The 27,643-nt window shown below is 51.8% G+C and overlaps 1 protein-coding gene across 1 annotated transcript; it reads right to left on the bottom strand.

Moving 5' to 3' along the window:
- Positions 1-868: 868 nt before the first annotated feature.
- PLVAP (plasmalemma vesicle associated protein) lies at positions 869-26,756 on the bottom strand. Its single transcript, NM_031310.3, has 6 exons — positions 26,334-26,756; positions 15,513-15,609; positions 14,700-15,412; positions 10,186-10,246; positions 9,942-10,023; positions 869-1,782 (listed from the first exon to the last, which is right to left on the bottom strand). Exons 1-6 carry the CDS (start codon positions 26,700-26,702, stop codon positions 1,776-1,778), a joined length of 1,329 nt encoding a protein of 442 aa, NP_112600.1. The 5' UTR covers positions 26,703-26,756; the 3' UTR covers positions 869-1,775.
- Between the last annotated feature and the right edge of the window lie 887 nt (positions 26,757-27,643).

Here is a 27,643-nt window from a genome sequence, read left to right on the forward strand (position 1 = left end):
AGACAAGTTCTCACTATATTGCCACAACTGGTCTTGAAATCCTGGGCTCAAGCAATTCTCTCACCTCTGCCTCCAGATTAGCTGGGTCCACAGGTGCACATCACCATGCTTGGATAATTTTTAAGGTTTTTGTAGAGACAGTGTCTTGCTATGTTGCCCAGGCTGTTCTTGAACTCCTGAGCTCAAGCGATCCTCCAGCCTCAGCCTCCCAAAATGCTGGGATTACAGATGTGAGACATCTTTCTTGGCCTGCTGTTTAAAGGAAACACTAAATTTAACAGCATTGCCGTCATGATGCTGTGCCTTGTAGCCACTGCATTAAACCCTCTTTGGCTATGACTCTGCTATTTCCCTTTGTGTATAGAGATGCCTGTGCCTTGGGGGCTGCTGGTGTCCCCCAACGTTTGTTCCAGGTTGAAGGGTCTTGTGGCCTGGAGGAGTTGGGGAGGAGGTTCCCTGGCTTTCATCTTCTTTCCAGTCTTTTCTCCTTCATAGCCATGTGGTACTTTTGTTGTTGTTGTTGTTGTTGTGTTGTGTTTTGTTTTGTTTTTTGCTCTGTTGCCCAGGCTAGGGTGCAGTGGCTCGATCTTGGCTCACTGCAGCCTCCACCTCCCGGGTTCAAGAGATTCTCCTCCTTCAGCCTCCCGAGTAGCTGGGATTACAGGCGTGCATCACCACGCCCAGCTAATTTTTGTATTTTAAGTAGAGATGTGGTTTCACCATGTTGGCTAGGCTGGTCTCGAACTCCTGACCTCAAGTGATCCTCCCGCCTTGGCCTCCCAAAGTGTTGGGATTACAGGCGTGAGCCAGCATGCCCAGAAACCATGTGGTACCTTTAAAAGCAGAAATCACGCTTCTGGAGTCTTTGAAGGATTTACTAATATTTATTAAGTGCCACCAACATTTCAACGGGCCACAGGCAGGGCTGGGAGTTGGGGGAGAAGGAGTGGCTCCCCTCCCGACAACAGGTGACCCTCACCCCCGGCTCAGGGCCCCGAGGGGGTCCTGGAAACACTCACGCTCAAGGAGCGGAGGTGAATGGCTTCCTGTTCTCACCTCCGGGTCCAGGCACTGGGGGTGAGGAAGTGGCTGGGAGGCCAGGAGGCTGGAGGAGGGGAGGTGCTGGGGCCCAGGGCTGTGCGGGAGGGGATGGGATCCTGTGGGTACCTTGGCCCGTGTGCCAGGGTCGGGGGAACGTGACACTAGGTGAGAATTGGGTAGAAAGTGTGTGTGAAAGGGCATGCGTGCATGTGATGTTGGTGCCATATCTATAGGTGTCGTTGTCATGGTGTGTGTTGTCACTGTGTCTGTGTGTGACATCATCACCGTCTGTGTGATGCCATCGCCGCGTCTGTGTGACATTAATATGTGTGACGTCGACATGGCCCGTGACGTCGTTGCTGCATCTCGGTGTGACGTCATGCCAAGTTCCCCATGTCTGTGTGCGACGTGCTGCATCTGCACGACGCCATCGCTATATCTCTTCGTGACGTCTACATGGCCACGTGACGCCATCACCACGGTGATATGTGACGTCAGCGCCGTTGCTTGCGTGACGTCATCTCCGCGGCCGTGTGCTCTGGGTGAGGGATCGTGAGGCGCGGGTGCGGGTGTGAGAGGGTACTAGGGGTTTGCATGCAGGGAGTTGTCTGATGGTGGCCCTGGGTGGTTGGGGGCGGCGGGAGGGGGTTGTGTCGGGCGCTGTGAGCATATCCCTGCATCCTCCGCAAACCGCCGAGTCGGGCCATCCCTTGGTCCTCAGGCCTGGAGCCTCCTCAGCCACTAGGGCAGGAAGGGGATGGTAACACAACAGAGTGTCAGACAGAGGGAAGGGCAAACCTCGCCGGGCCCTGGAGGCTCGTCCTCAGCGGGGACACAACATCCTGGGGACCCCGGCCCTGCCTCCTACCACCCTGGGCCCCTACTTCTTCCTCAGAACCCCAGGGCTCCTTCGGGTTCAGCCTCTCCATGAGACGCTCATGTGTTGAACCTCCCCAGGATGGTGAATGGTGAGACTGAGGTGTGTTCTTCCCCATTATACAGATGAAGAGACTGAGATTCAGAGTGGCCACACTTCACGAGCCCCAAGCCTCTGCTACAGCTTGTTTGACTCTCCCCAGTGCCTCCCAACATTCTGGGGATACTGAGAATTTACCCCAAAGCCTCTGCTCCCCCAGACCCCTACACTGGTTCCCAAGGCAAGGCTTCGGTCTCCCTCTTTTGCCTGCTCCTGCTCACATGTCCTCCATGGCTCCCCAGTGCCCTCAGGAGAAAGTCCAAACCTTACAACGTGGCATTCAGGGCTCCACCCCTCTGCCCCTGCCAGGCCTCCCCATCAGGGACTCCTGCTGTGCCAAAGACCCAACAATTCCAAGAGCCATCACACTGCTTCCGCACCCTCCGGCCCCACCGCCTTTGCACGATCGGAGTTGTCTTGCTATCTGGGATGCCCTCCCCCTCCTGGGCCTGGCAGAGGTTCCTGCGAGGGGTCAGGGGTTGGCTTAGAGCCTGTTTCCTGCTGGGGGAGGAGGGGGCTGTGGCTAAGTCCCGCTTCCGCTGGTCCTCTCCCTTCCTTCCCCGGCTCTTCCCTGGGGCCCGAGTGGCCTCACGTTCCTTGGTTGGCTCTGGGCCCTGGCCCTGGCCCCAGACTCCATCCTCAACCAGCATTTACCCAGCTCTTGTCCCTGCTGCCAGCCTGCAAGGCTCCATCTTTGCTTGAACTGGGTCAATGCACATCCCTCTGTCCTGGTCCCCAGCTCTTTGTCCCGTAGTCTGTTCCCCAACAGTGACCAGAGGAACTTGTGGATGCTTGAACTGGGTCATGCACATCCCCCGTCTGCTCAGGTCCTCACAGCAGCCACAGGCAGGGCTTGATCAGCTCCCATCACTTCCCTGCCCTCACCTCCTCCTCCCGTTCCCCTCCATCACTCCACTCCAGCCACACCGGCCTCTTCCCTCAAACACACAAGGCACGGTCCCACCTTGGGGCCTTTGCCCTGGCTGTGTCCTCTGTCTGGTGCACCCTTCCTGGGATCCCCCCATGGCTCCTCCCTCACCTCCTCTGGGTCTCTGCTTCAATATCACCTCCTCGGTGTAGCCTGCCCTGTCTCTGGTAGAAAGTTCCAACCTTCTTACGCTTCCTGCCCCTTTCTCTGTCTCGCCCATCACCAAAGGACCCTTGAGTGACCCGTTCATCTAATTTATTATCCATCTCTCCCACTAGACTGTGAGCCCCATGAGGGCAGCGGGTTTCTGTGCCTTGTTCCCAGCACCCAGCACCATGCCCGGTTACCAGCAGCTGCTCAATAAATACGGCTCGAATGGACACACGAATCATCAGAGGCGTTAACAGTGAACTTGAACAACATTAACCACGTGTCCAGCTCAGAGCCAGGGCTGGACTCCCATCTTAAGCCCATACGGCCGGGCGCGGTGGCTCATGCCTGTAATCCCAGCACTTTGGGAGGCCGAGGTGGAGGGATCATTTGAGGCTAGGAGTTCAAAACCAGCCTGGCCAATGTGGTGAAAACTCATTTCTACTATAAATACAAAAGTTAGCCGGGCCTGGTGATGCATGTCTGTAATCCCAGCTACTTGGGAGGCTGAGGCATGAGAATTGCTTGAACCCAGGAGGTGGGAGTTGCAGTGAGCCAAGATCACACCACTGCACTGCAGCCTGGGCAACACAGCAAGACTCTCTCAAAAAATAAAAAAGATTAAGAAAATAATGCCAGGCGCAGTGGCTCATACCTGTAATCCTAGCACTTTGGGAGACGGAGGTGGGCGGATCACCTGAGGTCAGGAGTTTAAGACCAGCCTGGCCAACATGGCGAAACGCCGTCTCTACTAAAAATACAAAAATTAGCCGGGTGTGGTGGTGCATGCCTTTAATCCCAGCTACTCGGGAGGCTGAAGTAGGAGAATCACTTGAACCTGGGAGGCAGAGGTTACAGTGAGCCGAGATGGCACCATTGCACTCCAGCCTGGAAAACAGAGCGAGACTCTGTCTCAAAAAAAAAAAAAAAAAAAGGGCCGGGCGCTGTGACTCACACCTGTAATCCCAGCACTTTGGGAGGCCGAGGCAGGCGGATCACGAGATGAGGAGATCGAGACCATCCTGGCTAACACAGTGAAACCCCGCCTCTACTAAAAATACAAAAAATTAACCGGGCGTGGTGGTGGCCACCTGTAGTCCCAGCTACTCAGGAGGCTGAGGCAGGAGAATGGCGTGAACCCGGGAGGCAGAGCTTGCAGTGAGCCGAGATCGTGCCACTGCACTCCAGCCTGGGTGACAGAGCAAGACTCCGTCTCAAAAAAAAAAAAAAATTAAAATTAAAAATAAAAATAAAATCTTGGCCAGGTGTGGTGGCCCAGCCTGTAATCCTCGCACTTTAGGAGGCTGAGGCGGGCAGATCACCTGAGATCAGGAGTTCAAGACCAGCCTAGTAAACATGGTGAAACGCCATCTCTACTAAAAATACAAAAAAAATCACCCAGGCTGGTGGCGGGCACCTGTAATCCCAGCTACTCGGGAGGCTGAGGCAGGAGAATTGCTTGAACCTGGGAGGTGGAGGTTGCAGTGAGCTGAGATCACACCAGTGTACTCCAGCGTGGGTGGCAGAGTGAGACTCCATCTCAAAATAATAATAATAATAATAATAATAATAATAATAATAAAATAAATAATAAAATCTTTTTTAAAAAAAGCTCTTCCCATTGCAATTTTTGCCATATTCAGCCACATAGCTCCTGGACCAAGATTTACTTAATATTTGCCATTTAAAAAACGTTTTAGAGGCAGGGTCTTCCTCTGTCACCCAGGTTGGAGTGCAGTGGCGTGATCATAGCTCACTGCAGCCTTGAACTCCTCGGCTCAAGCAGTCCTCCTGCCTCAGCCTCCCAAGTAGCTGGGACTACAGGTGCATGCCATCATGCCTGGTTAATTTTTTTTTTTTTTTTTGAGACAGTGTCTCGCTCTGTAGCCCAGGCTGGAGTGCAGTGGTGCAATCTCAGCTCACTGCAACCTCCACCTCCCAGGTCCTGGTTCAAGCAATTCTCCTGCCTTAGCCTCCCGAGTAGCTGGGATTACAGGCACACTCCACCATGTCCAGTTAATTTTTTGTATTTTTAGTAGAGACAGGGTATCACCATGTTGGCCATGCTGGTCTTGAACTCTTAACCTCATGATCTGCCCGCCTCAGCCTCCCAAAGTTCTGGGATTACAGGTGTGAGCCAACATACCCAGCCATTACTGTCTTTATATCGTTTTTAAAGAAACTTACATTGATTTCCAAAGACACTCAGTCTCTACTTCTTTTTTTGTTTGTTTTTGTTTTTGCTCTGCCTCATGTGATCTGCAGGAAGGGACACTCAGTCTCATCAAGTAAAGGAAAGCTGGCGCACACATCACCAACAGAAAATGACTTTAAAATTTTCCATAGGCCGGGCACCATGGCTCATGCCTGTAATCCCAGAACTTTGGGAGGCCAAGGCGGGCGGACTGCCTGAGGTCAGGAGTTCGAGACCAGCCTGGCTAATGTGGTGAAACCCTGTCTCTACTAAAAAATACAAAAAATAACCGGGCATGCTGGCACGTGCCTGTAATCCCAGCTACTCGGGAGGCTGAGGCATGAGAATCGCTTGAACCCGGGAGACAGAGGTTTCAGTGAGCAGAGATTGCGCCACTGCACTCCAGCCCAGCGACAGAGTGAGACTCCATCTAAAAAGAAAAAGAAAGATTTTTTTTCCATAAGAGCAAGACCTCACGCCGAAGCCCAGCTGATGTGGGGCCCTGCGTCGGCCATCGATTTGGGAACACGGGAGATGCGCAAGTGTCTGGAAGCCGTTAGAGCAAGTTAATACCAGCTAAGGCTTTGTCTATTTTATTTTTTTAAACTAAACACTATATTAATGAGAATTTTATTTTTTCTCTCTTAGAGACGAGGACTTGCTATGTTGCCCAGGCTGGACTTGAACTCCTAGACTCAAGCAATTCATCCTCCTCAGCCTCCCAAAGTGCTGGGATTACAGGCGTGAGCCACTTTGTCCCACTAAACTGAGATTTTATCAAGGCTTAGAAGGAATAAGAGTGGGTCGGGTGTGATGGCTCACGCCTGTAATCCCAGCACTGTGGGAGGCTGAGGTGGGTGGATCACCTGAGGTCGGGAGTTCGAGACCAGCCTGACCAACATGGTGAAACCCCGTCTCTACTAAAAAAACAAAATTAGCCGGGCGTGATGGCGCATGCCTGTAATCCCAGCTGCTTGGGAGGCTGAGGCAGGAGAATCACTTGAACCCAGGAGGTGGAGGTTGCGGTGAGCTGAGATCGGGCCATTGCACTCCAGCCTGGGCAACGAGAGAGAAACTCCGTCTCAAAAACAAAAAAACAAAAGAAGAAGAAGTAAGAGTGGAGGCCGGAGGGGGTGGCTTATACCTCTAATCCCAGCACTTTGGGAGGCCAAGGAGGGCGGATCACTTGAGGCCAGGAGTTTGAGACCAGCATGGCCAACATGGTGAAACCCCAAAATTTTTACAAATTTTGTAGAAAAAGATACAAAAATTAGCCAGGTGTGGTGGTACACTCCTGTAATCCCAGCTACTCAGGAGGCTGAGGCAGGACAATTGCTTAACCCAGGAGACGGAGGTTGCAGTGAGCTGTGATTGCGCCACTGCACTCCTGCCTAGGAGACAGAGTGAGAGTCCATCTCAAAAAAAAGAAAAAGGAGTGGAAAAGGAAAAATCAACTCTCCCGATGCATGAGGTGGGTGATTTAATGCTGAGTCTTGTCCCAGCACCTCATTAGGTGCATCTAAAATTCTAGTGACTCAGCTACTTGGGAGGCCGAGGCAGGAAGATCACTTGAGGCCAGGAGTTCAAATCCAGCCTGGGCAACATAGCAAGACCCCTGTCTCTACAAAAAAATAACAATTTAGCTAGGCATGGTGGAGTGTACCTGTAGGCTCAACCACTGGGGAGGCTGAGGCAGGAAGATTGTTTGAGCCCAGGAGTTCGAGGCTGCAGTGAGCTATGATCGTGCCACTGCACTCCAGCCTGGGTGACAGAGCAAGACCCTGTCTCGAAAAAAATAATGATTAAAAAAATAAAATTCCAGTGACTCTCCCCAAGTTGCCCAGTTAACCCAGAGCAGACAGCCCCAGCCCACTTGCCCCCGGCCTCTCTCAGGGGAAGGCGAGTCAAGGGCAGAAGCCAGCAGGCCAGAAGCCCTTCCTGCGACCGTGAGGAGAGAAGCAGGCAAGGTCCAGGCTTAAGTACACATTGTTTTCTCGGCAGGTGGACGTCATTTCGGGGTAAACAATGTCAAGAGCTTCCCTGGTTCTCAGCCGAGGCCCTGACAGTCCTGGGCTGGGAGCCCGGGCCTGGCCCTGATTCTCCACTGTGTGACCCCAGGCTGCTCACTTCCCTGGGGCCTCAGTTTCCTCCTCTGAGAAGTGGGGATAATAATAGAACCTCCTTCCTTGCCATGAGGGCTTTCGGCCAAGATGGAGAGAGGAAAATTGTGTTTGCTTGGAGCGGGGAATCTCCTCCTCACCTTTTTGTTTCCCTCCCTGTGGGCTGCTCAGGGCTGAGAACTTTCTCCCAGACAGAGCCATCTAGAGCAAAGGGGTTGAGAGACAGCTTGGCGAGGGAGTGAGCTCCCTGTTGGAGAGGGTATGCAAGAAGGAAAAAAAAAAAAAAGAAGAAGAGGTGGAAATGGAGCTGGACATGATGCATCCTGGGGAGTTGGCGGCAAAGCTTTCGGAAATCTACTTGGCCAGAAATCCCATATTAGCCCTCTGAGGCTGCAACAGACCCAGAATGACAATAGCTCCGTGGCAAAATGGTCATAGGCACAGTGGTTGGGGTCAAAGGGATCTGACTTAAAGTTCTGGTGCCTTCCTGAGCCTCGGGTCCTAAACTGCAAACAGCAATGCCAGGCCCTGACTCCTCCGTCAGTGGTGTAGCAGGACCCCAGAGAGAGCACAGGCTATTCTTGGGGCGGTGGCCTGAGTCACCATCCCTGTGACGCACAGGCCACCCTCTGAGAAGTGACTGACTCTGGGAGGAGGCAGGGGGCACAGGCAGCAAGCCATGACCTGAGCGTGTGCCAGGAGCCCTTGCTGCTTCCTACAGAGGCCCCTAGTCCCTTGCTCCGGTCATTTTTGGATGGCACCTTGCAATTAGCAAAGCATTTCCAGGCCCTTGACTTCAGAGACTATCTTTTTTTTTTTTCCAAGACAGGATCTCACTCTGTCTCCCAGGCTGGAGTGCAGGGATGCGATCTTGGCTCTCTGCAGCCTCCACCTCCTGGACTCGGGCGATCTTCCCACCTCAGGCTCCTGAGTAGCTCGGACTACAGGTGCGCACCACCACACCTGGGTAATTTTTGTATTTTTTGTACAGAGGGGGTTTTGCTATGTTGCCCAGACTGGTCTTGAACTCCTGGGCTCAAGCAATCCTCTCACCTCGGCCTCCCAAAGTGCTGGGATTACAGGTGTGAGCCACAGTGCCTAGCTGAGACTCTTTTTTATTTATTATTTTTATTTTTATTTTTTGTTGCCCAGGCTGGAGTGTAGTGGCTCAATCTTGGCTCACTGCAACCTCCACCTCCCGGGTTCAAGTGATTCTCCTGCCTCAGCCTCCGGAGTAGCTGGGATTACAGGTGCCCACCACCACACCCGGCTAATTTTTGTATTTTTTTTTTTTTTTTAGTAGAGACAGGGTTTCACCATGTTGGCCAAGCTAGTTTTGAACTCCTGAGCTCAAGTGATCCGCCCGCTTCAGCCTCCCAAAGTGCTGGGATTACAGGCGTGAGCCACTGCAACCAGCCTCTCTTTTTTTGAGACAGAGTCTTGCTCTGTTCCCAGGCTGGAGTGCAATGGTGTCATCTCGGCTCACTGCAACCTCTGCCTCCCGGGTTCAAGTGATTCTCCTGCCTCAGTCTCCCAAGCAGCTGGGACTACAGGCGCATACCACCACGCCCAGCTACTTTTTGTATTTTTAGTAGAGATGGGGTTTCACCATGTTGGCCAGATGGTCTTGATCTCTTGACCTCATGATCCGCCCACCTCGGCCTGGGATTACAGGCGTAAGCCACCGTACCCGGCCTCTTTTTTTTTTTTTTTTTCTGACACAGTCTCACTCTGTCGTCCAGGCTGGAGTGCAGTGGCATGATCTCGGCTCACTGCAACCTCCGCCTCCCAGGTTCAAGCAATTCTCCTGCCTCAGCCTCCTGAGTAGCTGGGATTCCAAGCATGAGCCACTGTGCCCAGCTGAGACTCATTTTCTAGAAAGTAAAGGTCAGGATTCATTCCTGGATGCCACTCCCCCTTCTCTCCCTCTGCTCATTACCTTCCCTCACCCCCGTCCAGCCTCCAGGCCTTTGGCCTGGCTGTTCCTGCTGCCTAGAACACTGTTCCCCCTGCTTTCCCTGAGGCCAGCTCCTCATGCTCCAGCTCTTCCTCACCAAGGCTCTCTCTTGCCTGTTTGGGGTCCGATGGCCTGGGTTCATGTCCCAGCTCTGCTGTGCTCCCTGGGGTACAGGGCATGCCCTCTCTGTGCCTCACTCTCCTCATCTGGAAAGTGGGTAGAATAGTGGTTTGCCCTACTATTATTGTTAAGTTGTGAAGATTACATGAATTAATCTTGCAAAGTACTTAGAACTGCGTGGGGCTCCCAGTAGGTGCCTAATAATTGTAGGCTCTTTGGTAGTCCCATCATGACACTGTCTAACCCACTACTCAGGGAGTTTCATGAGGACAGGACTGGGTGTGTCTTGGATACTGCTGTGTCCCTCACGCCCAACCATACATGACCTAGTATACAGCAGGTGCTCAATTAAGGAAGAAGCAAGTGTGAGATCAGCCTCCCTCCACCCTCAGTCCTGGTCCTAGCTTTGCCCACAGTTCTAAGACTGAACAACTGCAGTCTGCCCAGTGCCTTACCTGGATGGGGCTACAGGGATGCCTGCAGGGGGCCTCTGGGACTCCAGGATCTTCCTCTTGAACTCCTCCAGGCTAGCTGGGTCTGTGGAGGGAGAGAGGTGAGGCTTGACCTACAGCTTCAGTTGCCCCTGCCCCTGGGCTAGGGATGGGCTGGCAGCCCAGGGGAGTGGGAAAGTGGGGCTGGGGTGGGGTTCGAGGTGGAAAGGGGCCCCTCCCCTACTTGGCTCTGTCTTTTGTCACTCACCGATGGGCTGGGGGTTGGGGACAGGGCCCATGGGCCTTGACACTGGCATCATCGGCTGCGACTGTGAAAGAAAGATGGAGGGAGGTTGGTAGGAGCCAGGGCTTCCCAGACAGGCTTCTGCCTTTTCTTTTCTTTTCTTTTTCTTTTTTTTTTTTTTTTTGAGACGGAGTTTCGCTCTTGTTGCCCAGGCTGGAGTGCAGTGGTGTGATCTTGGCTCATTGCAAACTCTGCCTCCCAGGTTCAAGCGATTCTCCTGCCTAAGCCTCCTGGGTAGCTGGGACTACAGTCACACACCACCATGCCTGGCTAATTTTTTGTATTTTTAATAGAGCTGGGGTTTCACTATGTTGGCCAGGCTGGTCTCGAACTCCTGACCTCAGGTGATCTGCCTGCCTCGGCCTCCCAAAGTGCTGGGATTACAGGCATGAACCACTGCACCCGGCCAGGTTCTGTGCTTTCATGCCCTTCAAGACCATCGTCTCTAAAGTCCTTCCAGGGCAGGGTAACAGACCCCATGTAGAAAGACATACATGGTCATGAACATAGAATCACCTGCACGCACCACAAGACTTGGGGACACCACAAGATGGCTTGGGGACTTGTGGGACTGATCACCTCGGCAGTCCTGAGGCCCCATGCTGCAGAGCTGGCCTACCCCTGTCTCCATCACAGCCTCAGGGTGAATCCAGTTCCAACCCAAGACCCCATCGGAGTCTACTCACCCACCACAGCCCCCTTCAGACTGAAGCCAACCTACCGTGTAGACTAACTGGACCCCGATCCTAAATGCCACCCCTGGAATATCCCTGAGCCAATCCCCCAAAACCTGAAATCCAAAGCCAATTCTGAACTCAATCACCTAAAATCTGATCCCAACGTGAAAAGTCAATCTCCCTTAGAATCAAGCCTCAGCCTAAACCCAGTCCTAATTATAAACTGGATCTGACCATATCTTCAGATCTCACTCTGACTCCAACCATTCTCTTGACCCAACCTCTATGAAAATACCCGTTTCGGGCCAGGCGTGGTGGCTCACGCCCGTAATCCCAACACTTTGGGAAGCCGAGGTGGGCAGATCCCCTGAGGTCAGGAGTTCGAGACCAGCCTGGCCAACATGGTGAAACCCCATCTCTACTAAAAATAAAAAAAAATAAAAAAAAAAAAATCAGCCGGGCCTGGTGGCGGGCACCTGTAGTCGCAGCTACTCGGGGAAGCTGAGGCAGGAGAATTGCTTGAACCTGGGAGGCGGAGGTAGCAGTGAGCCAAGATTGTACCACTGCACTCCAGCCTGGGTGACAGAGCGAAACTCTGTCTCAAAAAGAAAAAAGAGAAAATATCCATTTCCCCAGCCCCAGCCCTGTGCTCCAACATGTCCTCCTACAAACACTTGTGCAATGTCATGCTCAACCTCCTCAACCCCAGACCCCAGCCTCTGCCCAGCTCCCATCCTAAACCCACCCTCAGTTCCAATCCCAACCCAAACTTCACTCCAATCCTAAGGCCCTATGGAGCCCCTGATGTTAACCCGAAACAGTCCTAAGCTGGTCAGTTACCCCAAATCCACCTCAACCCACTTCCACCCCGAGATTGGCATCTACCCCAAATTTTCCTCTCAACCCAGCCCTGATCGTCACTCAACCCCAATGTCCCCAGCCATAACCCAGGGTCACCCAATCCTTCAACTCAACTCCAAGCCCACTCAACCTTCCACCAGTCACCCTAAACCAACCGAACCTCAACTCCTAACCCATTGTCAATACCAATCCCTATGTCAATGCCAGTGAAATCCAAAATTCACCCTTGGCTGCAACCTCTAAGCATCTCTATACCGACCAGCCACCTCCAGCTACCAGAGCCTCCAATCCAGCTTCAGTGCTTCAACTCAGTCCCGAAGCAACTGAGATCCTAGATCATTCTTCACCCAACCTCACCCCCTACAAGCATCCCTGACTCAATTTGCAAGCTTTTCTCACCATCCAAATTCCAAATTCAACCCCAGTTCTAAAATCAGTGAAATCCTAAGTGAAATCCTAACCTTAACTCAAATCAGCTCCAGATACAGCAGTGACCAAAAACTCATCTCAGCCCAACTTAAACACGAGTTCAACCTTCACATCAACTCTTCCTCTAGGCATCCTCACCCCAGTATCACTCCCAACACTAAACCAACTCCCCGGTTCCTCAACACAACTCAAATACAGGATTTTAACTCCGACCCTAACCCCAATCCTCATCCCAGCCGTAAAAGAACCCACCAGCTCCCTACGCTCAAACTCAGCCTCGATTCTTTCATTTTTCGTTTTTAGAATTGGGAGCAGATTTTATTTTATTTTAGATTCAGTGGGGATGTGTGCCAGTTTGTTACACTGGGTATATTGCATGATGCAGAGGTTTGGGTTTCTTTTTTTTGAGACGGAGTCTTGCTGTGTCACCCAGGCTAGAGTTGCAGTGGTGCGATCTGGGCTCGCTGCAACCTCTGCCTCCTGGGTTCCGGCGATTCTCATGCCTCAGCCTCCCAAGAAGCAGCTGGGATAACAGGTGTCTGCCACCAAGCCTGGCTAATTTTTGTATTATTAGTAGAAACAGGGTTTCACCATGTTGGCCAGGCTGGTCTCGAACTCCTGACCTCAGGTGATCCGCCCACATTGGCCTCCCAAAGTGCTGGGATTACAGGTGTGGGCCACCGCGCCTGGTCGTAGAGGTCTGGGTTTCTAATGGTCCCATTGCCCAAGCAATGAACACAGTACCCAAAATGTAGGTTTTTAACCCCTTCCCCCCTCCCTTCCACCCTTTCCCATTTTGGAACCCCAGATGTCTGTTGCTCCCATCCTTGGTCTTTCACTCAAGCTGGAGTGCAGTGGTGCAATCCCGGCTCACTGCAGCCTCAACCTCCTGGGCTCAAGCAATCCTCCCACTTCTCAGCCTCCCAAGTAGCTGGGATTACAGGTGTGTGCCACCACACCCGGCTAATTTTTTTTTTTTTTTTTTTGAGAGAGAATTTTGCTCTGTCACCCAGGCTGGAGTGCAGTGGTGTGATCTTGGTTCACTGCAAGCTCTGCCTCCCGGGTTCACGCCATTCTCCCGCCTCAGCCTGCTGAGTAGCTGGGACTACAGGCGCCCGCCACCACACCCGGCTAAATTTTTTTTTGTATTTTTAGTAGAGACGGGATTTCACCATGTTAGCCAGGATGGCCTCCATCTCCTGACCTCATGATCCACCCACCTCGGCCGCCCAAAGTGCCGGGATTACAGGCATGAGTCACCGCGCCCGGCCTAATTTTTGTATTTTTTTTGTAGGGATGGGGTTTTGTGTTTTGTTTGTTTGTTTGTTTGAGATGGAGTCTCGCTCTGTCACCCAGGCTGGAGTGCAATGGCATGATATTGACTCACTGCAAACTCTGTCTCCTGGGTTCAAGAGATTCTCCTGTCTCAGCCTCCCAAGTAGCTGGGATTACAGACGCACGCCGCCACGCCCAGCTAATTTTTTGTGTTTTAGTAGAGGCGAGGTTTCACCGTGTTGCCCAGGCTGATCTCAAACTCTGAGCTCAGGCAATCCACCTGCCTCCGCCTCCCAAAGTGCTAGGATTACAGGCGTGAGCCACCACACCCAGCCTGGGGTGGGGTCTTGCTATGTTGCCCAGGCTGGTCTGAACTCCTGAGTTTAAGCTATCCTTCCACCTTGGCCTCCCAAAATGCTGGGATTACAAGTGTGAGCCACCAAGCCCAGCCAGCCTCAATTCTTAATCCTTTCTCAATGTCATTCCTAATTCCAAACTCTACCCTAATCCTAATGCCAATAAACTTCTCCATCCACATTACTACAATCCTATAACCATCTGTAGGGCGGACAGCCACCAACAGGTCATCACAGTATCCATCCTAAATCCACCCTCCATGCCTCAACTCAACCCAAACCCAAAAGCAACAGAAATTCTAGATCCAACCCTTCACCCAACCCTAGACCCGATATCCACCCTACCTCTAATTCCAGTCTTTTTTTTTTTTTTTTTTTTTTTTTTGAGATGGAGTCTTGTTTTGTCACCCAGGCTGGAGTGCAATGGCTCGATCTTGGCTCACTGCAACCTCCACCTCCCGGGTTCAAGCGATTCTCCTGCTTCAGCCTCCTGAGTAGCTGGGATTACAGGTGCCCGCCACCACGCCCGGCTAATTTTTGTATTTTTAGCAAAGACGGGGTTTTGCCATGTTGGCCAGGCTGGTTTCGAACTCCTGACCTCAGGCGATCCACCCACCTTGGCCTCCCAAAGTGTTGGGATTATTGGCATGAGCCACTGCGCACGGCACTCTAATTCCATTCTTAACCCTACACTCTTCTCAATGCCATCCCCATTCCAAGCTCTATCCTGATCCTAATGCCTGATCCTAGAGAGTTGTAACTCACCCAACCTAGACCAGGAAGCCATCCTCAAAGCCAACTCCAAGTTCAAATCGCCACCACCCTCTTGGCATCTGGACCTAACTCCACTGCAGCCTCCCTCTGGGGCCTGCAAGCCCACCTTGGTCTTGATGCAGGTGTCCAGGGCTGAGTTTCTGATGGCCAGCTCCATCCTGAGCTGCTCCGCCTCCCTCTTCTTCTCTTCCAGCTCCTTGGCCAGGTTGTCTCGTTCCTTCCGCAGCACCGCCTTCTCCTCCAGCGCTAGCTGGGTCTGCCGGGAGCATTCAGCTTGGAGCTTGGCCTCCCGGGCCTGAGCCTCCTTCTCCACCTTCTGTTTCGCCTCCTGACTGGCCCGCAGGCCCTGCTGGGCTTCCAGCTTCTGGCGTTGGAGGTCTGAGTTCTCGCGGGCCACGCGTTCGATATCCGCCCGGAGGCTCCGGGCCAGCTCCTCCACCTTGGAGCTCATGAGGCTGGGCATGTGGTCGCAGGCTCTGCGGATGGAGGCCAATTCCGAGCCCAGGGGATGGTAGAGGTTGTAACCCAGGTTGTCCAGGCTGCGTGGGATAATGGAGTCCCTCCACAGGTTACGAAGGTCCATCTCAAACTTGTCCTTGTCCAGGGGCAGGCAGAGGGCTTGCACCTTTTGCAGTTGCTCCTTGGCCAGCTGGCGCTCTTGGTGCTGCAGCTCCCGGGTTTTCACGCATTCAACCAGCTGTTCCTCCGCCACGCGTTTGTTCAGCAGCACGCTTTCCTTATCCTTAGTGCAAATGGTCTTCTCCTTGGCTATCTCCACCTCCAGCGTCTTCACCTTCTGATTCAGCATGAAGAGCAAGGCTAAGGAAAACAGGACCAGGAGACCCAGGAAGATTGGGGGCTGCCGAGAGCACTGGGCAGGGAGTCCACCACCCCGGCTCCCTGCAGCCTTAGCACTCACCATCGCAGCTCTTGTTCATGTCCTTGAATTGATCTCTGCATTGCTTCTCACTCAAGATGATGGCAGCCATGTACCTCTGATTGTTCGTGTAGATGACCTGCCCGGAAGATAGGGGAAGGACGCAGGACAGAGCTTAGTGTCTTGCCCCCAGGACTGCCTGGACCCAGATCGAGCACCCTGGTGGCCAGAGTGAGCTGAGTTCACAAGGGCATGGTCCCTTTATGAGGGAATGTTAGAAGCCAGGTGTGGCAGCTCACACCTGTCATCCCAATTACTTGGGAGGCTGAGGTGGGAGGATCACTCGAGCCCAAGAGTTTGAGACCAGCCTGGGCAACATAGTGAGACTCCCATCTCAATAAAACAAACAAACAAAAATAAATAAACAAAAATATAGTGGATGTTTGTCTGATCTTCAAAAGCTTTTACAGTTACTACTATCCAGAAATAAAAAGACACAAAGTATAAATACATGCTACAACATGGATGAACTTTAAAAATATTACATCCACATTTATGGTCAACTGAATTTCTTTTTTTTTTTTTTGAAATGGAGTTTCACTCCTATTGCTGTTGCCCAGGCTGGAGTGCAGTGGCGCAATCTTGGCTCACCACAACCTCTGCCTCCCAGATTCAAACAATTCTCCTGTCTCAGCCTCCCAAGCAGCTGAGATTACAGGTGGCTGCCACCACGACTGGCTAATTTGTTTTTTTGTTTTTGGTAGAGACAGGGTTTCACCATGTTGGCCAGGCTGGTCTTGAACTCCTGATCTCAGGTGATCTGCCCGCCTCGGCTTCCCAAAGTGCTGAGACTACAGGCTTGAGCCACTGTGCCCGGCTCGAATTTTTTTTTTTTTTTTTTTTTTAGACAGGGTCTCACTTTGTCACCCAGGCTGGAGTGCAGTGGCCTGATCTCAGCTCACTGCAACCTTGACCTCCCAGGCTCAAGCAATCCTCTTGCATCAGTCTCCCGAGGAGCTAGGACTACAGGTATGCGCCACCACTCCTGGCCAATTTTTTGTATTTTCCTTAGAGATGGGGGTTTTACCATGCTGCCGAGGCTGGTCTTGAACTCCTGAGCTCAAAGAATCCAACTGCCAGGGCCTCCCAGCCCTGAATTTTTTTGTTTTTTTTAAAGAGATGGGGTCTCACTCTGTTGCCCAGGCTAGAGTACAGTGGAGTGATCATAGCTCACTGCAGACTCGAACTCCTGGGTTCCAGTGATTCTCCTGCCTCAGCCTCCCCAGTAGCTGGGACTACAGGCCTGTGCCACCACGCCTGACTGATTTTTAAATTTTTTTTTTTTTCTTGAGACAGAGTTTCGCTCTTGTTGCCCAGGCTGAAGTGCAATGGCGCGATCTCGGCTCACTGCAACCTCCGCCTCCCGAGTTCAAGCGATTCTCCTGCCTCAGCCTCCTGAGTAGCTGGGATTACAGGCATGCGCCACAACACCCGGCTAATCTTTGCATTTTTAGTAGAGATGGGGTTTCTCCATGTTGGTCAGGCTGGTCTTGAACTCCCAACCTCAGGTGATCCGCCTATCTCGGCCTCCCAAAGTGCTGGGATTACAGGCGTGAGCCACCATGCCCAGCCTTAAATTTGTTTTTGTAGAGATGGGGTTTCACTATGTTTACCAGGGTGGTGACGATCTCCCCCATCAGCCTCCCAAATTGCTGGGATTACAGGTGTGCACCACCATGCCTGGCTATGGTCAACTGATTTGGACAAGGATGCTGCTATGAGCTCAACTGTATCCCCAGTACCTGAGAATGTGACTGTATTTAGAAGTAGGGTTTTTTTGTTTTTGTTTTTTGTTTTTTTACACAGAGTCTCGCTCTATCACCCAGGCTGGAGTACAATGGCTCGATCTCAGCTCACTGCAACCTCTGCCTCCCGGGTTCAAGTGATTCTCCTGCCTCAGCCTCCCGAGTAGTTGGGATTACAGGGGCCCACCACCCTGCCCGGCTAATTTTTTTTTTTTTTTTTTTTTTTTGAGACGGAGTTTCGCTCTTTTTGCCCAGGCTGGAGTGCAATGGCATGATCTCGGCTCACTGCAACCTCCACCTCCCGAGTTCAAGTGATTCTCCTGCCTCAGTCTCCCTAGTAGCTGGGATTACAGGCACGCACCACCATGCTTGGCTAATATTGTATTTTTTAGTAGAGACAGGGTTTCTCCATGTTGGCCAGGCTGGTCTCAAACTCCCATCCTCAGGTGATCCGCCCACCTCGGCCTCCTAAAGTGCTAGGATTACAGGTGTGAGCCACCGCACTCGGCCGAACTAATTTTTGTATTTTTAGTAGAGACAGGGTTTCACCATGTTGGCCAGGCTGGTTTCAAACTCCTGACCTCAGGTGATTCGCCCCCCTCGGCCTCCCAAAGTGCTGGGATTATAGTCGTGAGCCACCTCTCCTGGCAGAAGTAGGGTCTTTAGAGAGGTAATTAAGTTAAGGTGAGGTCCTTAGGGTGGGTCCTAATCCAACATGACTGATGTCCTTATAAAGAGAAGAGATTTGGACACAGAGACACGGACAGAAGGAAGACCAAGAGCAGACACAGGAAGAAGATGCCACCTGCAAGCCAAGTAGAAAGACCTGGAACAGGCCGGCTATGGTGGCTCACGCCTGTAATCCCAGCACTCTGGGAGGCCAAGGCGGGTGGATCACGAGGTCAAGAGTTCAAGAGCAACCTGGCCAAGATGGTGAAATCCCATCTCTACTAAAAATACAAAAAAATTAGCAGGGCATGTTGGTGGGCACCCGTAATCTCAGCTACTGGGGAGGCTGAGGCAGAGAATTGCTTGAACTCGGGGAGGCGGAGGTTGCAGTGAGCCGAGATCGCGTCTCTGCACTCCAGTCCAGCCTGGGTGACAGAGCGAGACTCCGTCTCAAAAAAACAAACAAACAAACAAAAACCTGGAACAGATCCTTCCCTCACAGCCTCAGAAGGAACCAACCCCGCTAACACTTTGATCTTGGTACCACCCAGTCTGTAATACCTTGTCATGGAAGCCCTAGCAAATTAATACAAATGCTAACACCATCTCATGAGGCAAACAACAGTCTTTAAAAAAAACCTTTTTTTGTTTTTTTTTTTGTTGTTGTTTTTGAGACAGGGTTTTTTGCTCTGTCACCCAGCCTGGAGTGCAGTGGCACGATCTCGGCTCACTGTAACCTCCGTCTCCCGGGTTCAAGTGATTCCCCAGCCTCAGCCTCTCGAGTAGCTGGGATTACAGGTGTGCACCACCATACCTGGCTAATTTTTGTATTTTTAGTAGAGACAGGGTTTCGCCATGTTGGCCAGGCTGGTCTCGAACTCCTAACCTCAAGTGATCTGCCCACCACCAGCCTGGCCAACATGGCGAAACCCCATCTTTGCTAAAAATACAAAAATTAGCCAGGCATGGAAGCGCATGCTTGTAGTCCCAGCTATTTGGGAGTCTGAGCCAGGAGACTCGCTTGAATCCGGGAGGCGGAGGTTGCAGTGAGATGAGATTGTGCCACCACACTCCAACCTGGGGAACAGAGTGAGACTCTATGTCCAAAAAAAAAAAAAAGAAAAATTAAAATTAAATTAAATAAGATATGCAAATGGCCAAAGAGCATATCAAAAGACATTCAAAATCGGCTGGGCGCGGTGGCTCACACCTATAATCCCAGCACTTTGGGAGGCCAAGACAGGTGGATCACCTGAGGTTGGGCATTCGAGACCAGCCTGGCCAACATGGTGAAACCCCATCTCTACTAAAAATACAAAAAAATTAGCCAGGCCTGGTGGCAGGTGCCTGTAATCCCAGCTACTTGGGAGGCTGAGGCAGAAGAATTGCTTGAACCCGGGAGATGGAGGTTGCAGTGAGCCACGATCACACCATTGCACTCCAGCCTGGGTGACAGAGCGAGAGTCTGTCTAAAAAAAAAAAAAAAAAAAAAAAAAGAAAGATATTCAAAATCATTAGCCATTACGGAAATGCAAATCAGGACCACAGTGAGATACCACTACACACCCACGAGGGTGGCTATTTTAAAAACCCATAAACCCCCAAAATGAACAGTAACAGGTGTTGATGAGGATGTGGGGAAATCAGAATTCTCAGACAGTACTAGTGAGAATGTACAATGTTGCAACGGCTTTGGGAAAGTCTGGCAGTTCCTCAAAATGTTAAACATAGTTACCACGTGACCCAGAAACTCTACTTCTCAGCATATACCCAGAGCAATGGAAACACATCCTCACATCAACTTGCCAGGAATGTCCACAGCCGCTCGATTCACAGTAGCCAAAGGTGGAAAGAACCCAAATGCCTGTCAGCAGATGAATTAACGCACAAAATGTGTTCCTTCCATACATAGAACATGATTCAGCCATAAAAAGGAAGGAAGCACTGATCCATGTTGCAGTGTGTGTGAACCCCAAAAACATGATGCCTAAGTGAGAGAAGCCGGACACAAAAGGCCACAGAATGTGAGATTCCACTGACATGAAATGCCCAGAACAGGCAAATCCATAGAGACAGGAAGCAGGTTGGTGGCTGTCAGGGATTGGGGGAGGGGAATGGGAAGTGACTGCTGATGGGGACGTGGGTTTTCTTTTGGGAAGGTGAAAATGTTCTAAAATAATGTTCTAAAATGGATCGTGGTGATCAATGTACAACTCTGTGAATTTACAAAAAAATCATCAAATTGGCTGGGCGCGGTGGCTCACGCCTGTAATCTCAGCACTTTGGGAGGCCGAGGCGGGCGGATCACGAGGTCAGGAGATCTAGACCATCCTGGCTAACACGGTGAAACCCCATCTCTACTAAAAATACAAAAAATTAGCCAGGCGTGGTGGCGGGCGCCTGTAGTCCCAGCTACTCGGGAGGCTGAGGCAGGAGAATGGCGTGAACCTGGGAGGCAGAGCTTGCAATGAGCTGAGATCGCGCCACTGCACTCCAGCCTGGGCGACAGAGCGAGACTCCATCTCAAAACAAACAAACAAACAAACAAAAACATCAAATTGTACACTTTAAATAGGTGGATTGTAAAATACATGAATTATATATCAATAAAGCTGTTTTTAAAAATTATTTATTATTATTATTATTATTGAGATGGAGTCTCGCTCTGTGGCCCAGGCTAGAGTGCAGCGGTGTGATCTCAGCTCACTGCAACCTCTACTTCCTGGGTTCAAGTGATTCTCATGCCTCAGCCTCCCAAGTAGCTGGGAATACAGGGGTGCACCACCATGACCAGCTAATTTTTGTATTTTAGTAGAGACGGGGTTGCACCATGTTAGCCAGGTGGTTTCGAACTCCTGACCTCAAGTGATCCACTGGCCTCAGTCTCCTGCCTTGACTTCCCAAAGTGCTGGAATTACAGACGTGAGCTGCCACGCCCGGCCAGCTATTTTTATTTTAATTTAATTTTATTTTTTTTGAGACATGGTCTCACTCTGCCACCCAGGCTGGAGTGTGGTGGTGTGATCACAGCTCACTGCAGCCTCAGCCTCCCCAGGCTCGGGCAATCCTCCCACCTCAGTCTCTCAAGTAGCTGGGATTACAGGCACGTGCCACCACTCCTGGCTAATTTTTTATAGAGATGGGGTCTCACCATGTTGCCCAGGCTGGTCTTAAACTGCTGAGCTCAAGCAATCCACCCACCTTGGCCTCCCAAAATGTTGGGATTACAGGTGTGAACCACCACGCCTGGCCAGCAAAGCTGTTTTTAAAGAAAGTGTTCACAATTTAACAAACTAAAGCCATGCCTTTCAAACTTTGGAAGAGAACCCTCTGCAGAAATATAATAAGACATGAAGAATCAGGAGAGTTTGTCTTTCTGCAACTCTCTGTCCTTCATCCTTTTGCAGTTGGCCCTGGGTGAATGTCCTGGGGGGACATGGGGAATGCCTTCTGTTCTCAAAAGCCTTAGTCATTAGGAGGCTGAGGTGGGAACACTGCTTGAGGCTGGGAGTTCGAGACCAGCCTCGGCAATGTAGTGACACCATGTCTCTAAAAAAAAAAAAAAAAAAAAAGGATGTGATTTTTAAGTTTCTTTTTTAATTTTTAGTTTATTTTTTATAGAGAAGAGGTGTCTTGGGAGGCTGAGGCAGGTGGATCACCTGAGATCAGGAGTTCCAGACCAGCCTGGCCAACATGGGGAAACCCCATCTCTACTAAAAATACAAAAAATTAGCTGGGTTTGGTGGCGGGTGCCTGTAATCCCAGCTACTCGGGAGGCTGAGGTAGGAGAATCACTTGAACCCGGGAGGCAGAGGTTGTAGGGAGCTGAGATTGCGCCACTGCAATCCAGCCTGGGCGACAGAGTGAAACTCTGTGTCAAAAATAGTAATAATAATAATAAAATAATTAAATAATGTTTTTATTTATTTATTTATTTATTTTTTGAGACGGAGTCTCGCTCTGTCGCCCAGGCTGGAGTGCAGTGGCGCAATCTCGGCTCACTGCAAGCTCCGCCTCCCGGGTTCATGCCATTCTCCTGCCTCAGCCTCCCGAGTAGCTGGGACTACAGGCGCCCACCACCACACCTGGCTAATTTTTCGTATTTTTAGTAGAGACGGGGTTTCACTGTGTTAGCCAGCATGGTCTCGATCTCCTGACCTAGTGATCCACCCACCTCGGCCTCCCGAAGTGTTGGGATTATAGGTGTGAGCCACTGCACCCGGCCAATAATTTTTTTTTAAATGAAAAGACAGGCCAGGTGCAGTGGCTCACACCTGTAATCCCAGCACTGGGAGGCCAAGGCGGGCGGATCACGAGGTCAGGAAATTGAGGCCATCCTGGTTAACATAGTGAAACCCCGTCTCTACTAAAAATACAAAAAAAAAATTAGCAGGGCATGTTGGCGGGCACCTGTAGACCCAGCTACTCGGGAGGCTAAGGCAGGGGAATTGCTTGAACCCAGGAGGCAGAGGTTGCAGTGAGTGGATACCGCGCCATTGCACCCCAGCCTTGGCGACAGAGCTAGACTCTGTCTCAAAAAAAAAAAAAAAAAAAAAAAAAAAAGAAAGAAAAGACACCAGTTAGCCAGGTTCAGGTCTGAGAGGGGAGGCAGGGCTCTAATCTGAGGATCTAAGGGGCAGGCAGGACCCTATTGGGAGGGTCTGAGGGAGGGGCACAGTTATGCCCTGGGGACTGAGGGGTGTTCCACCCCATCTTGGGGGGCTGAGGTGAGACCTACCATACTCTGGGCATCTGGGGAGACGGTGCTTTGCCCCGGGGTTTTGGCGGATAGAGACAGGGCCCTACCCCTGGGGCTCTGGGCGAGGGGTTGAGGTGGAGGTAGGGCCCCGCCATTAGGGGTCTGAGGTGAGGAGACTGAGTTCTGCCTTGAGCAGGACTGAGGGGGCTGAGCTTACCTTCCTGCCCAGTGCGGACGGCTGGGTGGTCTGAGGTCCTATGGGAGGTCTGTCTTTGCCACTGCCTGGGCCCTGGCCAGCCAGGTCACCTCCTTGGAAGACCCTGAAGCTGCCTCTTCAGCCTTCCCTCACCCCACCCTCCCATCTCTCACCCACCTCACCCTTAAGGAGAGAGCCCCACACCTGCTCCCCACAATGTCTCAGGGCAGGCGGGACACCCCCTGGATGAAGTTGTGTCTGAGAACACGGGGATAATTGTCTAGTGAGTTTGACACAAGCCGGGGTGCGAGAGTGGCGCGATGGTCTCCAGGAGACCCCAGATTTGCAGCTGTGACTTTGCCCAGAGAGCCCGCCTGTTTCTGCCACCTCAAGAAAGTCACCTCCCCTCTCATGCCTTCACTTTCCTGCCTGCAAAGGGTTTAAAACTTCTGCTGCCCAGGCGCAATGGCTCACTCCTGTAATCTCAACACTTTGGGAGGCCAAGGCAGGTGGATCACTTGAAGGCAGGAGTTTGAGACCAGCCTGGCCAACATGGTGAAACCCCATCTCTACTAAAAATACAAAACTTAGCCGGGCATGGTGGGGCGCACCTGCAATCCCAGCTACTCGGGAGGCTGAGGCAACAGAATCGCTTGAGCCTGGGAGGCAGTGGTTGCAGTGAGCCGAGACCTTCCACTGCACTCCAGCCTTGGCAACAGAGGGAGACCCTGTCTCAAACAAAACAAAATAAAACAAAACAGCCGGGAACGGTGGCTCACGCCTGTAATCCCAGCACTTTGGGAGGCCGAGGCGGGTGGATCACAGGGTCAGGAGATCCAGACCATCCTGGCTAACACAGTGAAACCCGGTCTCTACTAAAAATAGAAAAATTAGCCAGGCATGACGGCGGGCGCCTGTAGTCCCAGCTACTCAGGAGGTTGAGGCAGGAGAATGGTATGAACGCAGAAGGTGGGGCTTGCAGTGAGCCGAGACTGCGCCACTGCACTCCAGCCTGGGTGAAAGAGTGAGACTCCATCTCAAACAAAACAAAACAACAAAAGCTTCTCCCTACTTCCCGGGATTTGGCAATGAGTTAATATTTCTAAATTCAACACCCAGCATACAGCAAATATGGACTGTTTATACATGCTAGAATTGAACAGGAACAAAACACTGTGAACTTTTATTCAGTCCATCCTTTTTTTGTTTTTTTTTTTCCATTCAGGGTCTCACTCAGTCGCCCAGGCTGGAGTACAGTGGCACTATCTTGGCTCACTGCAGCCTTGACCTCCTGGGCTCAAGTGATCCTCCCACCTCAGCCTCCCAAGTAGCTGGGACTACTGGCATGTGCCACCATGCCTGACTAATTTTTGTATGTATGTATGTATGTATGTATGTATGTATTTATTTTTAGACAGAGTCTCCCTCTGTTGCCCAGGCTGGAGTGCAGTAGTGAGATCTCGGCTCACTGCAATCTCTGCCTCCCAGGTTCAAGTGATTCTCCTGCCTCAGCCTCCCGAGTAGCTGGGACTACAGGCACATACCACCATACCCGGCTAATAATTTTTGTATTTTTAGTACAGACGGGGTTTCACTAGGTTGGCCAGGCTGGTCTCAAATTTCTGACCTCAAGTGATCCACCCACCTTGGCCTCTCACAGTGCTGGGATTACAGGTGTTAGCCAGTATGCCTGGCCTAATTTTTGTACTTTTTGTACAGACAGGGTTTCACCATGTTGCCCAGGTTGGTCTCAAATTCCTGGACTCAGGTGGTCCTCCTGCCTCGGTCTCCCAAAGTGCTGGGATTACAGGTGTGAGCTACTGTAGCCGGTCTTCAGCCACTTATTTGCAGCTTGTGTGTGCTGGACCCCTTTGATTAGTGCTGGCACATTCTGGGAGCTTCATGCATAGTAAGTTATGGGCTCAGGACTGCCAATTAACACACAGGAGGAGAATTAAACTTGGATTCCAAAAAGACAATGAATATTATTTTCAAAATTATATCTCAAATATTGCATGGAATATACTTACAGTTTAAAAAAAATGTTGCTGGCTGGGAATGGTGGCTCATGCCTGTAATCTCAGCACTTTAGGAGGGTGAGCCTAGGAGTTCAAGACCAGCCTCAGCAGCATAGTGAGATTCTGTCTCTAAAAAAAAGTTAGCCAGGGCACCAGGTCAGGGCACGGTGGCTCATGCCTGTAATCCCAGCACTATGGGAGGCCGAGGTGGGTGGCTCACTTGAGGTCAGGAGTTTGAGACCAGCCTGGCAAACATGGTGAAACCCCGTCTCTACTAAAAATACAAAAATTAGCTGGCATGGTTGCACACGCCTGTAATCCCAGCTACTCAGGAGGCTGAGGCAGGAGAATCACTTGAACCTGGGAGGTGGAGGTTGCAGTGAGGCGAGATTGTGCCACTGCACTTCAGCCTGGGTGACAGAGCGAGACTCCGTCTCAAAAAAAAAAAAAAAAATTGCCAGGTGTGGTGGTGCCCACCTGTAATCTCAGCACTTTGGGAGGTCCAGGAGGGAGGATTGTTTGAGCCCAGGAGTTCAAGACCAGCCTGATCAACATAGCGAGACCCCACGTCTACTAAAAATAAAAAATGACCTGGGCATAGTGGCATGTCCATAGTGCCAGCTACTCAAAAGGCTGAGGCAGGAGGATTGCTGGAGCCCAGGATGTCAAGGCTTCAGTGAGCTATGCTCACATCACTGTGCTCCAGCCTGGGTGACAGAGTGAGACCCTGCCTCCAAAAAAAAGAAAAGAAATAAAAAAAATTTAGCTGGACGCAGTGCCCCACACCTGTAATCCCAGCAGTTTGGGAGGCTGGGGTGAGAGGATTGCTTGAGCCCAGGAGTTCGAGACTAGCCTGGGCAACATAGTGAGACCTCATCTCTGCTAAATATAAACATATTAGCTGGGTGTGGTGGTGCACGCCTGTAGTCCCAGCTACTCAGGAGGCTGAGGCAAGAGGATCACTTGAGTCCAGGAGATTGAGGTTGCAGTGAGCTGTGATAGCAATTGCACTCCATCCAGCCCAGGATACACATGGAGACCCTGTCTCTTAAGGAAAAAAAAAAAATCTATCGGCCGGGTGCAGTGGCTCACGCTTGTAATCCCAACAATTTGGGAGGCCAAGGCAGGCGTATCACTTGAGGTCAGGAGTTTGAGACCAGCCTGGCCAACATGGTGAAACCCCATCTCTACTAAAAATACAAAAATGAGCCGGTTATGATGGCACATGCCTGTAATCCCAGCTACTCGGGAGGCTGAGGCAGGAGAATCACTCCAACCCAGGAGGCAGAGGTTGCAGTGAGCCGAGATTGCACCACTGCACTCCAGCCTGGGAGACGGAGCGAGACTCTGTCTCATAAGAAAAGAGAGCATTGGTCCTGTGATCGTCCCCCTCTCTTGGATGAGGAAACTCAGGCTCAGAGAGGTGAGGGGGCTTGCTCAGGGTCCCCAGGGCGAGTGTCCTGCCCACAGCCTTACCCGGTCACCCTGGCACTGGCGGAAGCTGGCATTGATGCGGTCCAGGTCGCGGCGAGCATTCAGCCACATCTGCATGATGGCATCCTTGGCGCGGGTGGTGAAGTTGAGCTCCTTGGTCAAGTTGGACTGGGAGGCCGTGAGCCCTAGGAGCTGACTGTATAGGCCCTCGGCTCGGCGCTCGGTGGCCTGCAGGTTGGACTCTGTGCTCACGTGCACGTTGCCATAGACCATGAAGAGCACGAGCCCCAGGATGATGAGGAATTGGATGAGGGAGACGAAGAGGAAGAAGTAGCGCAGGTAATACCAGCAGCCCCGAGAGCTGCCCCCCGCCCGAGCGTAGGACCCTCCGTGCTCCATGGCCAGACCCATTTGCTCGATCCCGCCGTCCGGTGCACCGTCCCTGCTCACCACCAGGCCTGCTCTGGCCCCCGCCTCGCAGGGGGGAGTGCTTATATTACTCCTCTTAATACTTCCTCTGCCTGGCTCCTTCCTGGCCCGGAGGAAACGGGGGCTGCGGGTTATCACAACACTCCCACTCTGGCTGTGAGAAGGCGGGGGTGGGGCTGGGGGCCCAGAGCCAGGGCACCGGCTGGACCCCTCTGATTAATGCTGGGTGGGGCGCTGGCTGGCTGGTCAGGCATTCCTGGCCTCTTCGAGCCTCGCGTTCGCCTTTACTTGCTGGCGGGTGCTGTTCTCAGTACCTGCTGTGATTAGGTCGCTGAATCATGCCAGGTCTGTTGCTGTCTCCCTTGTGTGGCGGAGGAAACTGAGGCACAGGGAGGAGAAGGGGTTGCCTCGGGGTCTCACGCTGTTAGTTCAGCGAACTTGACTTACCTCAAGACAGGCTGGCTACAGACGTGCACCCACTTCACCAGGGCGGTGCTGATTAAGTGCCACAAAACGTGGGAAATGTGCCAGGCACGGTGGCTCACGCCTATAATCCCAGCACTTTGGGAGGCTGAGGCGGACGGATCACCTGAGGTCAGAAGTTTGAGACCAACCCGGTCACCGTGGTGAAACCCCCCGTCTCTACTAAAAATACAAAACTTAGCCAGGTGTGGTGGTGCTCGCCTGTAATTCCAGCTACCCAGGAGGCTGAGGCAGGAGAATCGCTTGAACCCAGGAGTCGGAGGTTGCGGTGAGCAGAGATCGTGCCATTGCACTCCAGCCTGGGGTATAGAGCAAGACTCTGTTTCAAAAAAAAAAAAAAACAGAAAAAGTGTGAAACTCTTAGCTAGCCTAGGGATGGAGAAGCAGTAGGTGATTAGTAATTGCATAGGAGGGCGTCACGGAGGGCTGAGCCATGGATG

Source organism: Homo sapiens, chromosome 19, assembly GCF_000001405.40.
Source record: "Homo sapiens chromosome 19, GRCh38.p14 Primary Assembly".
NCBI lineage: Eukaryota > Metazoa > Chordata > Mammalia > Primates > Hominidae > Homo > Homo sapiens.

Bases quoted from the DNA above. Each gene is read 5' to 3' on its own strand.
- PLVAP (NM_031310.3), bottom strand. From the start codon at position 26,702: ATGGGTCTGGCCATGGAGCACGGAGGGTCCTACGCTCGGGCGGGGGGC. The intron at 15,413-15,512 runs GTGAGTGCTAAG...TGTTTTCCTTAG, and splicing joins CATGAACAAGAGCTGCGATG to CCTTGCTCTTCATGCTGAAT. The intron at 10,024-10,185 runs GTGAGTGACAAA...CTCCCTCCACAG, and splicing joins CCCCAACCCCCAGCCCATCG to ACCCAGCTAGCCTGGAGGAG.